This window comes from Homo sapiens, chromosome 10 (genome assembly GCF_000001405.40).
Source record: "Homo sapiens chromosome 10, GRCh38.p14 Primary Assembly".
NCBI lineage: Eukaryota > Metazoa > Chordata > Mammalia > Primates > Hominidae > Homo > Homo sapiens.
The window spans coordinates 29,411,666-29,426,360 of record NC_000010.11 but is presented as its reverse complement, the minus strand read 5'-3'; the positions used below and the strand labels follow the sequence as shown (position 1 = coordinate 29,426,360).

The window sequence follows — 14,695 nt, the reverse complement described above, 5'->3', positions numbered from 1 at the left end:
ATTATTAATTTCACTTTGTTTCTGGAATAGGCAAGATTGATGGGGTAGGTAGTCATGTATCTCTTAATGATGGAGACACATTCTGAGCATTGTGTCATCAGGCGATTTCGTTGTGTGCAAACATCACAGAGTGTACTTACACAAACCAAGGTGGGAGAGCCTGTGACACACCTATGCTGTATGGTATAGCCTATTGCTCCTAGGCTATAGATCTGTACAGCAGGTTACTATACTCAATACCATAGGCAATAGTAACATAATGTAAGTATTTGTGTATCTAAACACAGTGACAAAGGTACAGTAAAAACACAGTATTATCTTATGAAACCATCGTCATATGTGATCTGTACTTGACCAAGACATTATGTGGTGCATGATTTTATAATTCTTAATTGGGCATATGAGTAAACTGAGGCATCAAGTGATTCAGTGACTCCTAAATGTTGACTGGTGAGTTGTGGAACCAGGATTAGAACTTTCACTCTGGTCTATTTCTACTATGTTGCAAATTCTGCTTTTCTGGGTTATGTAAGTTTTTGACTTTTATATTATAGTGAGATAGAATTAACTTTGTATCAAGAGTTTAGGGATCCATGAAAATTGTATGCTCAATTTGATGTGCATGTAAGATCCTCCTTATGAGATGACTTACAATTTTCATGAAGTTTCTAAAAGGGTCTCTGTAACCAAAAAGGTTAAGAACGCTGGCGTGCTGTGTGTGTCACAATGAGACTGAGGTCAAGTCTAGGGTGACCTTTTTACGGACTGTAAGTAGGGGACGGTAAACCCAGAGAAGATGGATGTTCGGGTGGGAATAATCATTTCATTCTTTAGAGTCAGAGAGCATTGGAGCGGCCACCTTCCTGAGAAGGTGGTACACGTGCTTATAGCTCTACAAGTCCATTCGGACAAGCTTAGAACCTTAGATAGAGGATTCTTGAAGATCATTAAACCTGAGGGTCCACAAATCTGGCTACACATTAGAATCATCTGGGGAGCTTTGAAAGACACCATGTCTGGGACCAACCCCCAGGGATTTCTATTTTAATTGTCCTAAGATTCTGGCTTCTGTATTTGTTTTTAAAGCTCCTCAGATAGTTCCCATGTACCAGAGTTAGGATTACCAATCTTCTAAATGAGTAGTTATCAACCTTGGCTGAACAATGAAATCACTTGGGGAGCTGTTAAGAAGTCCTCTTGCCTGAATCTCACCCTCAGATCTTCTGATTTAATTTGTCAGGGGTGTGCTAGGCATCAGGAATTTTTCAAATGACCCCAGGTGATTTTCACAGGCACTCCAATTTGAGAACCATTGTTGGGATCTAATCCGACACTTCCTGATGCAAAGAAAACCAAGCCGAAGAGAAGTGGCCTAAGGTCATAGGGCTAAGACAGAACCAGGATTAAACCCAGGACCCAACTCTAGGCTTGGACTCTATGGTTCACCTAGTCAAGGTACATGGATTTAACTTAGGCAGTTCAGGGCGGATCTGAGAAAGGGAGCTCGTCAGGGACAGGCCTTGCTTCTCTCTTTGATTAGTGAGAAACATATAAACATATATATATGTTTCTGAATGAATGTTGTCCTGCTTAAGGGATGAAATCCCAGTGTTCTGGCCCAGATGCATGGGTCCCTGTGACCCCTCAGATTGGCAGCTAACTCTATGGGAGACGACCTCTAAGATGAGCCCCAACAATCCCTGTGTCTGTATTCACACCCTTGTGTGATCTCTGCAATAGAGTATGGCTAGACCCAGAGATTTACTTCTAATGAACAGAATATGGCAGAAGGGATATGATGCTACTTCTGAGATTAGATTATAAAGAGATAGTAGCTTTTGTCTTGCAAACCTCTCTTGCTTACTTCCTTATTGCTCACTTTGATAGAAGCCAGTTGCCATGTAGTGAGCTGTTCTATGGATCCCCATATGGCAAAGAACTGAGGAAAGTTCACTGACCAACAGTCAGTAGGGAACTGAGACCCTTAATCCAATAGCCTGAGAGGAATTGAATTGTGCCAGCAACCATGTGAGTGAGCTTAGAAGTGGATCCTCTCTCAATTGAACCTTCAGATGAAACAGCAGCTCTAGCCAATAACTGTATTACAGCCTAGTAAGACTTTGAGGCGGTTACCCAATAAGCCATGTCTGGACTCCTGACCCACAGAAACTGTGAGATAGTGTTTGTTGTTTCAAACGACGATTTAAGTTTTGAAGTAATTTGTATGCAGAAATAGATAACTATTACAAAGTCCATGCATAAAAGTTCTTAAGTCATGTTATAGTTGTTGAAACCAAGGTATCAAAAGACCAAATGTATTTTCCATAGTCAACCAGGGAAGCAGTGACAAAACAAGAAATGGAGTTTAGATGCCAGTTGATTCCCAGACTTATTCTCTCCTATATAAAGGTTAATGACATTTTGCATGAAATAATGCTAGTAGAACCCACGAGGTTGTTAGCCATGCTACCTTCCTTATCTTCCCTTGACTTTCTTTTTAAATCTCTTTATAGAGTAACCGTTGAGCACTGAGCCTTTTCCCCAGAAATATTATTTTTTTAACAATGCATCCCTGTCTTGTGCCAGTTTTCAATATACCCAAAGGACTATAAATCATGCTGCTATAAAGACACATGCACACGTATGTTTATTGCGGCACTATTCACAATAGCAAAGACTTGGAACCAACCCAAATGTCCAACAATGATAGACTGGATTAAGAAAATGTGGCACATATACACCATGGAATACTATGCAGCCATAAAAAATGATGAGTTCATGTCCTTTGTAGGGACATGGATGAAATTGGAAACCATCATTCTCAGTAAACTATCGCAAGAACAAAAAACCAAACACCGCATATTCTCACTCATAGGTGGGAATTGAACAATGAGATCACATGGACACAGGAAGGGGAATATCACACTCTGGGGACTGTGGTGGGGTCGGGGGAGGGGGGAGGGATAGCATTGGGAGATATACCTAATGCTAGATGACACGTTAGTGGGTGCAGCGCACCAGCATGGCACATGTATACATATGTAACTAACCTGCACAATGTGCATATGTACCCTAAAACTTAGAGTATAATAAAAAAAAAAAAAAAATTAAAAAAAAAAAAAAAAAAAAAAAAAAAACAATGCAACTTTGTCTTTTCTAAAACAAAGAGATTCCAGGCATTCAGTGTGCATTCTAAAAAGTGAGATGTTGAGGCATGGGAGGAAAGTGACTTTCAAATAAGCACATAATGATCAAGTAATCTTCTCTCTACCTTTCATGCTGAGAACAGTCACAAATATTTCATTCCTGAGAATCTTGTTCCCAAATTGACAATGCTTCAATAAGCACCTTTTTGTACTTTCTTCTTAATCAAGTAGAAAGAAAAAACATCATAAATACAAGAGGGGTATTTTCCCTTCTACTCAAAGTGTGTAGCCAGGAGCCCCAGCATTCTTTCCACAGAGAGATAGTATGGTTCTAAACTATCACTTAGGCGACTGAGCACAGTATTTGGATAGAAGGATGCTTTGTATCAACCATGCCAATTTAAAAAAATCATTGAAGAAATCTAACATGCACTTTAGTAAGAGTGAAGAACTAGTAATGTTAGGATATATTCTAATACCTAACATTAGGATAAAATCTAACCTAATGTTGGTAATATCAGGTTAGAGTACTCCCACTTTATAGGAATTGGATATGAGCAGAAGTTCTTTGACAGAAAACTGAGGATCAGAAGGGTAAATATTTGTCTAAGGCCATAAAGTGAGTTTCCACTGGAATCAGTACTTAATTCCACAATGCACTTTACCCTCTTAATTCTGGCTACTATTCTTATCTCAGAGAGAAGACTCATTGCCCTTGAAAAACTCCTCCTGAGGAGGTCAATGTGAGAAAGAGGAGGCATGCCACTTGAACAAATTGTCTGCCATATAGCCACAGACAGTAAACAAATCTCATAAAAGCTTTTGAAACAAAAGCAAGACTATGAAGAGATAAAACTTAGCTTTACTAAGTTAAATCAGAAGAGAAAAAGACAGATCTAGAAGATACTATTTCCAAAACATGTATTCTATAAACTGAAACGGAAATGCAAGTGGCCAGCTTTCTTTTATTCTTTCACCGGCCAAGGGGGAGCAACGTTTTGTGCAGGGCCACTTCACCACCAAGGACTCTGACCGCTTCTCCACCTCCAGGACAAGCACTGAGGCCAATTCCACCTCCAATCTGCTGGTCTTCCACATTCACACAGGGCCATTTCACCACCGACTCCTACTGCTTCTCTGCCTCCAAGAGGAGCACTGAGGCCAATTTCGCCTCGATTCTGAATGTCTCCCACTTTGGTGTAGGGCCATTTCACCACAGAGGACTCTGACCACTTCTCCACCTCCAGGATGAGCACTGAGGCCGATATCACCTCCATTCTGGTGGCCTCACACAGCAACTCGCTGCTGAACCCAGACATCTTTGCTGAAGTCAGTTGACTGGACAGTACAGTGCAGGATCTGCGTGTGGCACAGGGAAACGCAAGCCAGCTCCAGTACCAGCAGGTGTGCGCGAGGTACAAGATGCTCTGCGTGGTGCCCCCAACCCACTCCTGTACACCTGGCAGGTGGACAAAACGCTCGACCTGGGCAGCATCTCCTTCCCCATCTATAACCATAGTGGACACCCCCTCTACCTGACCAGCTTCTTCAGAGGACACATCTTTGGGGACAGCCTAGGAATGGGCCACTTACTCCTGCAGGCCAAAGCCATGCAGCTGCTGTACTGCCTGAAGACCGAGCACTCTGAGGACGATGTGCAGAGCAAGCAGTGGCTCACCCATTTCCTTGACCAATTTACCAACATTAAGAACAGCCTGGTCTTGAAGAAAATTGAGGTACCTGGCGGTTTGGGTTTACAAGGAGGCCAGGAGAAGGTGGGAGGGACGAGGAAGATTTGCACCCAGAACCCTAACAAAAGTACTGCATGACTACTTGATGGGGCCCTTGCCTCAAAGCCGGGTTTGCTCTGCTGTATTTGGTACTCAATCCAATTTTCTTAACCCTGACAGATGCTAGAAATCGTGAATCCTGGGTAACATTGCAGTCGATAACGCAAATCCTGTGTCCACCAGATGGGCCAGCTCAGTACAGACACTGATCTTCACATTTAATTTTGGGGTTTGGTTTCTAATACTTTGAAATTCTACTTTTAGTTAAAGTCTTCACTGGTTTTGGGGAGCCTCCTAAAACTTGTTTGGAGCTCACTGGGATTAAAAAAGAAAAACAAACTTTTAAGTAAAAGTTAATGGTGTTAAGGTAACTAGCTCAGCATTTTTCAAGTTAGATACATATGAAGCGCCTGGCTTAGTGTGAGGTACATATCAGCTGTTCAGTTATTGCTGGGTCAGCAACTCTACTAAGACTTATAAATAGAGGAGCAGTGGTGTTGGCAGCATCAGGGCATGGCCCAGGCAGGAGCAGCGGCCACAGCGTTCATCCATCTATGGAGGAAGAGGCTGCCTTGGCGGGTCAACTGTGTTGCTCCAAGTGACATAATGTCATGATTTTGATAGCTGAAGTGTTTTGCCTTGTGTACATACTAGAGTTTCTTGATGTCTTCATTTGTGGATGGACAGGTTCATCTGTGTTGCTCCAAACAACAAAATTTCATTATTTTGGTAGCCAAAAAGCATTTCCCTTCAGTATATATACCAGAGCTTCCTGATCCCTTCATCTGTGGATGGACAGGTTTCTCCACGTGGTTGCGGATGACAGGGTTTCCCGAAGCTTTATGGCTGAAGAGTATACCATCATGTATCTAATACGGCAGTTTCTTTACCACTTTATCTGTGGATGGACAGGTTCATGTGATTCCTGCATTGTCTGGAAGAAGCAAATACAGAACAGAGCTGGAAGATAAATGCCTAAATCAAATCATTGCAGATTCTCACTAAAGATGAGCTCATAATTCCAAATAATAAAACACATGATCAATGAGAGAGAACAGAAAATGTGAGCAACCAGATTTGATCAATCTGAACAAGACTATAAATAAGTGTAATTAAACAAATTAAGGACATAAAAGTATAAAGTAGAAATCAAGAAGTCGATTTGCAATAGAACCAAATAGAACTTCTAGAAGTAAAAATTACACACACAGAGAATCTAAGGCCCGTTGGTCATACTGAGCAGCAGACTGAATACGGCTGGAAAGAATTAATACACTGAAAGATAAAACCAAGGAAATTAACCAGGAGGCAGCACAGAGAGATAAAGCTCTTGTCTAAAAATGTCTTTATTTTGTCCTGTTGAATTACTAATTTAGATTGCTGGAAAGAGACTTGTAAGTTTACTGTTGTCTTCCCTTGGCACAGTTGATATATTATAGACTTTCTTTTACTGTAAAAAAAAAAAAAATAAAGGCTTATAAATAAGCCTGGTGAAAGAGACACCTGCTGGAAAGAGCCTTCAAAGACTAAGCCCACCTCAAATGATATTTATGCAACTGAAATAGTAGAAGACACCAACCTAATAAAAATTTACAAAAAGTTATAATTTTTTTTTCTTTTCTTTTTTCTTTTTTTTTTTTTTTTGAGACAGTCTTGCTCTGTCGCTCAGGCTGGAGTGCAGTGGTGCGATCTCAACTCACTGCAACCTCCACCTGCCAGGTTCAAGTGATTCTCGCACCTCAGCCTCCTGAGTAGCTGGGATTACAGGTGTGTACCACCACACCTGGTTTTTTGTATTTTTAGCAGAGACAGGGTTTCACCATGTTGGCCAGGCTGGTTTCGAACTCCTGACCTCAGGTGATCTGCCCACCTCGACCTCCCTAAGTGCTGGGATTATAGGAGTGAGCCACCGCACCCAGCCAAAAGTTATAATTTCTACAGCTATTAATGAGAACAAGATATCACAGTTTTAGACTGGGCACGGTGGTTCATGCCTGTAATTCCAGCATTTTGGCAGGCTGAGGCAGGTAGAGTGCTTGAGCCTAGGAGTTCGAGACCAGCTTGGGCAAACTGGTGAAACCCCATCTCTACTAAAAATACAAAAATTAGCCAGATGTGGGGGCACACACCTGTAGGTGTCTTGCTGTGTTTTCCAGGCTGGCCTCAAACTCCTTGGATCAACTGATCCTTCTGCCCCAGCTTCCCGAGTAGCTAGAAGTACATACATGTGAATCCAGAAGGAAACTACTAGAGTTAATAAATTCAGCACAGCTTCAGGATACAAGACCAACACACAAAAATTAGTTGTTTTTCTGTACATGTACAATGAACAATCTAAAAAGGAAATTAAGAAGGCTATTCCATTTAAATAGCGCTAAACAAATAAAATGCTTAGGAATAAATTTAACCAAGGAAGTGAAAGACCTGCATGCTGAATACTACCAAACATTGGTAAAAGAAACTTAAAAAGACCTAGGTAAATGGAAAGATCCTTAGTTCCTGGGTCGGCAGACTCAATATTGCTAAAATGCCAGTCCTATTCAAAACAATCTACAGATTCAACACAATCCCCATCAAAATTCTGACAACCATTTTTCCCCCCAGAAATAGAGAAGCCAATCCTTAAATTCAAATGGAATTGCAAGGAGTCTCAGATGACCAAAATAATCTTGAAAAAGACGAACAGAGTTGGAGGACTCAGTATTATTCAGCCATAAAAAGGAATGAAGTCTGATACATGCTACAAGGATGAACCTTGAAAACATTATGCCTAGTGAAATGAGCCAGTCACAAAAAGACAAATATACGGTTCCACTTATATGAAATCTTTAGAATAGGAAAGTTCACAGAGACAAAGCAGATTAAAGGTTAACTGGCAATGGGGGGCTGGTGGTGATGGGGAGTTACTGCAGAATGATAACAGAGTTCCTGTTTGGGGTGATGAAAAATATTTGGGAACAGATAGTTGTGATGGCTGCATGACAGTGTGGATGTAATTAATGCCACCAAATTATACATGTAAGAGTTGTTATAATAGCATATTTTATGTCATATATATTTTACCACAATAAAATATTTTTCACAAAGTAAGAGATTTAAAAACCAATCAAAGCTTTTTACCTGCAGCATGATATGACTGCAAGCAGTATGATGAGAACATATGCCAGGTGAAAACAAAGGGACTGCTGTCACAGACATTGTCTCAAATTCCAGTTGTCTGGAAAGTGATGTAAAGTGGACCACCTGCCACAAAAATATACTCAGGTATATAACTTTTAAATCCAGTATTTGTGTGTGAGTTACAAAAACTATTGAAACACTTTATGTTAGTGATGAAACAATGTGTTAAAATTCAGTAAAAGATCAAAATACATGGAATATGATTTTAGAAGAGAGAAAATAATGTAGATTTGCTTCTTCCCACAAATCTATGAGCTCCTCCTAAAGTTTCTTTCAGATTCAAAGTTTAAGTAAAACTCCTGAATATAAAGAATCCGAATTCACAAAAAAAGAAAAACAAAAAGGAGCTCTTGGTTGGGCGCAGTGGCTCACACCTGTAATCCCAGCACTTTGGGAGGTTGTGGTGGGCAGATTACTTGAAGCCAGGAGTTCGAGACCAGCCTGGCCAGCAGCATGGTGAAACCCCACCTCTGCTGAAAATACAAAAATTAGCCCGGCATGGTGGCACACGTTTGTAGTCCCAGCTGCTCTGGAGGCTGAGGTGGGAGAATTGCTTGAACCTGGGAAGTGGAGGCTGCAGTGAGCCTAGATGATGCCACTGCACTCCAACCTGAGTGACAGGGTGAGACTCTGTCTCAAATTTAAAAATAAAACAAAGAGCCCTTCCTTACAGAATTCCAAATAAGATATGTAGACAGAGTGATGGCATTTGAAAAAAATTGTCATTTGATAGCCACCACAGTTAGAACAGCAGGATCATATACTGTCCTTCTCGCTTGTCACAGGCAAAAAATATCAATGGATGCTAAAATAAGAGGGCAAAGAATACGATGAAAAGGAGGATATCTAATAAAGTTTCGATGTATCTCTCCAAAAGAAATATATTCATTACAAGAGGAAAAATAATAACTTCACAGAGGAAAAAGTTGGCATGTATCACCCAATAGTAACCAAAGTCCCAACACCAGTAAATGGGACAAACAGACATCATGTGCCTCCTGACACTGTGCTCTGAGAAACACTTCTGTGGAATTCCTGCCAAAAGTGCATAACCTGAATCCAACCATAAGGACACCGAATATATGTAAATTAAGCAGCATTCTACAAAATAATTATTTACTCTTCAAAAATGTCAAGGCCCTGGAAACACAAAGACTGAAGAACTGTTCAGATTAAAAGAGACTGAAGAGTGGCCAGGCGCAGTGGCTCATGCCTGTAATCCCAGCACTTTGGGAGGCCGAGGTGGGTGAATCATCTGCGGTCAGGAGTTCAAGACCAGCCTGGCCAACATGGTGATATCCCATCTCTACTAAAAATACAAAAATTAAAAAAAAAAAAATACAAAAATTAGCTGGGCGCAGTGGCATGTGCCTGTAATCTCAGCTACTTCGGAGGCTGAGGCAGGAGAATCGTTTGAACCCAGGAGGCGGAGGTTGCAGTGAGCTGAGATTGCACCATTGCACTCCAGCTTGGGTGACAGGGCGAGACTCCATCTCAAAAAAAAAAAAAAAGAGAGACTGAAGAGAAATAACCAAATTCAATGTATGATCCTGAACCCAAAACGATTATTTGTCTTTTGCTATGTAGGACATTAATGGGATAACTGATAAAATCTGTGTATAGACAATAGAGTTGTATCTATGTTGATTTAAGAAATATACAAAGTATGTAGACATTTTAAAGACATCATGTCTGCAATCCACTCTCAAATAATTCATTTTAAAAAACCAGAAAAAAATGCATTTTTTTAAAAGAATACTGTGTGTGTATACATAGAGAGAATGATAAAGCAAATGTGACAAATATTAACATTTGGATGGAGTAATTTAGTAGGATATACAAGAATTATTTTTGCTATTTTTACAGATATATGAGTCTGAAAAAATAGACATACAATAAATGTAAACAAATAAAGGCAGTTAAGATAAACTATTTGCTTTCCCTAATAATACTGCTAGGATCATCTTTACTATACTCTCATCAGATCATCAAATTTAAAATTTTATGATTTAAATTTTAAAGCTCAGGGAAAAAAAAGTATTCTCTCTCCCCAAAACCTCCCAATTTACAGATGAAGTTAGTAAGTCAAGATTACACCTAATTCAAGGCAAAGCCAAGACTATTATCTAGCTCTGACTCAGCTCAGCTACCTTTCAACTATTCCAAGCGGTCTTTTCATTCCTTTACGTTGTTGTCTATGGTCTAAACACATGACACCAAAATACTTATCTCTATCTTCTCATATATTTTCATAAGTTAGTGTGACTAACCACTTTCAGGCCATCTAAATTTTATCTTTAAAAGGCATTTAAGTATCATTGCTCCTAACAGTCCTTAATAACTAATATGAATACATATGTAAAGATCAGAATACATGTCAAACACTGTAGCAAATGCTGAACATACACAATTAATGTACTTTACTGTTAGGTCCATGATGACAGAGACCAAGTTTATGTTATTCACTATTATACCCCCACCTCTTAGTAACAGTGCCTGGTATACAGTAAGTACTCAAATAACTGTTGTATATTGCAAAATAAAAGACAATCCATAATAGAGGAAAGAAATGTGTGTATAGATAACCATAATATCAGTAGTTTTAATAAAGTCCCATGATACAACAGATAAGGAAATTATTTTCTCTTGGTAAGATCTAGAAAGGCTTCAAGAGATTTAACGATACCAAAGTTAAATCTTGAAGGACAAATAAAATGTCAACAGACATGGAGGTGGTGGCGTGGTAAGAGGAAGGTAGAAGGATTTAGATAAAAAAGCCCAAAGGCAAGAAAATATTAGACATTTCTATTGAATTTTTAAACACAGGCTCACCTATTGTTGCTGCAAGTTCTGGATCAAAGGTATCATCTGTGAACCTCAAGAGCAGGCTGAAAGAGATATTAAAAAGACAGGTTAGGAATTAGAATTTTTCTTTCTAATCATATGATAAGTGTGTTCATGATTATTATATCCAGTCACAAATTATTAAATGCAGATAAAAATAACTGATGGAGGCCTGCTCCTAGAAATACTGCCTCAGAGCAGGTATACACAGAAGAATTAAATTACTAGAAAGGCAATTTAAAAACTGCCAAGAGCAAAGTAGTTTACTATTAAATATATTCCCCATGCTCTCCTACCCAATCCCCCAAGTACAAAAGGTGGGGGTTTTTGTTGTTGTTTTTAACTGTTCCGGTATGTCCTGAGACACTGATATTAGCAACATGTCATGCTTTAATTGACATGGATGAAAAGAGAAAAAATAAAGTTTCTTGGAATGCAACAAAGTAAAGTAACTTAAAAAAATCTGATGTGTAATCCACTTTAAATTCAAGCACAAACAGAAAGATATCAAAGCCTAGCATTCTATAACAGGCAGTATGGCTACCACCTAAGTGGGAAGAAAAGATACAGTAAAAAGAGAGGTAAAAAAAAAAAAGATCACAGGACAGAGTAGGTATACTCAGGCAAACACCAGGTAGGGTTTACAAAACCAAGTAGGCAACTGGAAGCTATTGAAGGCTTTTAAACAAAGTTATGACAAGAACTGCTCTTTGTTTTGAAAAGTTAATGCCAACAAAAAATGGAAGAAAAATCAACAGAAGAAAACTGCCACGGTTATGGCAGGAGAGAACAAAGGACTAAACCTAGGAAATGGTAGGAAACTAGAAAGGAAGGATAAAAGCAAAAGACACCAGATTAGAAGGATACTCTAAGGTTTTTCATCTTCCAGAATTATTTTACTAACTATGAAGCAGAAGTGTCAGTTATTAGAAGCTCTTCAAAAATAAAAGCTAATGTTAAAGCCCTAAATTTTAAAATCACTCAACTTCACTTGTTAACTTCTAAAGTATAAGTCTGTCCTGTTGACCTGCTTGTATTAATAAAATCAAAGAAACAGTCATCAGATGTCTAAATTATAGAAAAATCTGATGAATATTCCTAATATTCTAATTTCTAATTAGATTCTAATATTCATAAGGTTGTGATTACTGCTGCTAGAGATATGTTTTGTCCACAGAGTATTCTGCAAAACATAATGACCTCCTGGTAGTTTCCAAACCCAGTGTCATTAATTATATTTGAAGGATTAACTCTGCCTTACTTGGTTTTGTTTTCTTGTGTTTACCATAAAACGAGCACCACAGAATCAAAGTAAAACAGGAGAGTCAAATTCAAGATTTCTCTATTTCACATCTTAACTATATTTACTTACTTCAAACATAAGTTAGGTGACAGCACTAATAAGACTCTAAAATAAAACTTACAAAAATTTTCTTCTCTCCCAACAGTTACCCATAATCTAAGAATAGAAAAGATACATATCTACACGTGGTCACCACAGAAAATATTATTACAAAAACATAAGTTAATATAACCTTGTAGAGTAGTTGTAATAATAATAATAATAATAATACAAGTAATAATAATGATATTGGGTATTATTTATTGAACATATGGCAATGTGCAGACAAAAAGCCAGAGGTTTTTCTCTCATGATTGCTAATCCTTACAACAGCCATTGTCATTAATGGTACTTTGTCAGGAGAGGCAGGGAATTGGTGGCATGGTGTGAAGCAACAAATTTTAATACAGGCTCTGGGTACACATCAGATCTTAGCCAGGGGTACCCTGGTAGCCCAAAATGTATTCTAAATTCCATGTGTGCATTTTTCTAGGCAGAGAGTCCATTTCTCTATTTATTAGACTTTGAAAGGGGCAGAGAGTCCATTTCTCTATTACATTTTGAAAGGAATGGGCAATCTCAAAATGATTAAGAAGGACCCTTTTTTTTTTTTTTTTTTAAAGAGACAGGGTCTCACTTTGTCACCCAGGCTGGAATGCAGTGGCACAATCACAGCTCACTAATCCTCCCACCTTAGCCCCCCAAGTAACTGGCACGACAGGTGTGCATCACCATGGCCGGCTAATTTTTTTATTTTTCAGTTTTTTAGAGGCATGGTCTTGCTATGTTGCCCAAGCTGGTCTCGATCTCCTGGCCTCAAGTGATCCTCCTGCCTCAGCCTCCTGAGTAGCTAGGATTACAGGATGAGCCACCGCACCTGGTAGAAGCACCATTCTTACAATATTGTATATTTACACCTTCATATTTCAAAGTTAAAGGAGCAAAATGCTTTCCATGCAGAGGTAGAGATGGAAGGAGTAACTACCACCATGGCACTTAGATGAGACCAAATTTACAACAAACAGAGTGTGATTATAACTAATCTGCATTTCTTTATCTACAAATGAAATTCACCAAAACGAATGGCAAGGCTAGGGTATGCATAGGAGGGACAGCAATTTACAAAATAGGTCTCTTTAATCCCTTCCAGTTCTTGATACACTCTGCTACCTCTACCTCACCGGGCCTAGCTACAGAATCGCAGTCTTATACATTTAACACTAGATAGGGTTTGAGAGGTTTCTATTCCAACCCCCTCACTTTTGAAATGAAGGCCTAGAGCATTCAAGGATCACACACAAGGCCACACAAGTGGCAGCCCCAGTTTCATAATCCTGATCTGCTGATTACTATCATATACCCTTTAGACTCCAACGCCATGAAATACACTAGAAAGTAATCCACTAATTCAGCTTAAAGATATCCTTTGTTGTGCAATAATTCCCCAACATGAGTGCTATTTCACTTCCACTAGCTCCAGCTCTATAAAGAAACAGAACAAACTTGGTAAAAACAACCCTTTAAGGTCACACCCATGACAAATGTTTCTGTACTAACTCACTTTAAAAAGTATAGGCTTCTATTTTAGTGGAGTCATTTATTCCCACCTTATCCAGAAAGATAAGTGTTTAAGGTTCTTTTCCATAGCATATCACATAGGCCAATAATGTATATCTAGCCAGACAAATAAGACAACTTTCTCACTAAATGCAGTCCTTTCACGAAAGAGGTAATACAGTGCCAAAATTTTGCAGTGAGCAGTTGATAATCCACCACTACACATTGAGGAAAAAGTTTAAAAAAGATTAGGCCTAAATACATTTGTTTCTGGGGAGTGAAGTAGAGAGACTGATAAATCCCACTTAACAGACCTTATTCTAAAAAGGGACTCTCAGCTGGGTGCCATGGCTCATGCCTGTAATCCCAGCACCCTGAGAGGCCAAGGCTGGAGGATGGCGTGAGCCCATGAGTTCCAGACTAGCTTGGGCAACATAGGGAAATCCCATCTACAAAAAAAATTTTAAAAGTAGAGCAGGGTATGGTGGCTTATGCCTATGATACCAGCATTTTGCGAAGATCCATTGAGGGCAGGAAGATCCACTGAGCTCAAGAGTTCAAGAACAGCCTAGGCAACACAGCAACACCTTGTCTCTATAAAAAACCCTAGCCAGGCATGGTGATTCGTCCCTGTAGTCCCAGCTACTCAGGAGGCTGAGGTGGGAGGATCGATTGAGCCAGGCAAGTCAAGGCTGCAGTGAACCGTGATCACACCACTGCACTCCAGCAGGTGACAGAACAAGACCCTGTCTCAAAAAAAAAAAAGCAGTGGTGCGGGGACGGGGGACGGGGAACGAATCTCATTTATATACTCCAGTTAACGTTCCAGAAAATTT

General features: G+C 39.4%; 1 long non-coding RNA gene and 1 pseudogene across 11 annotated transcripts in view, besides 1 other annotated feature; one reads left to right on the top strand and one right to left on the bottom strand.

Annotated features, from left to right (window-relative positions):
* SVIL-AS1 (SVIL antisense RNA 1) overlaps nt 1-14,695 on the bottom strand; it is a 78,323-nt gene that overhangs the window by 61,496 nt on the left and 2,132 nt on the right. For 8 of the 11 annotated variants that reach the window (NR_110927.1, NR_110920.1, NR_110921.1 and 5 more), the window contains exon 2: nt 10,949-11,004. This is a non-coding gene — a long non-coding RNA (SVIL antisense RNA 1). Of the gene's footprint in view, nt 1-3,988; nt 5,897-10,948; nt 11,005-14,695 lie in introns of those variants that run through there. The other 3 variants (NR_110924.1, NR_003930.2, NR_110923.1) reach the window with 2 other exon arrangements.
* Nucleotides 4,123-4,885, top strand: PTCHD3P1 (patched domain containing 3 pseudogene 1; annotated as a pseudogene).
* Nucleotides 13,409-13,458: an enhancer, noted in NCBI's record as "active region_3195". NCBI's record gives its function as "activates an Ori minimal core promoter by ATAC-STARR-seq in GM12878 lymphoblastoid cells {active_cell/tissue: GM12878}" and the evidence as "EXISTENCE:reporter gene assay evidence [ECO:0000049][PMID:35858748]".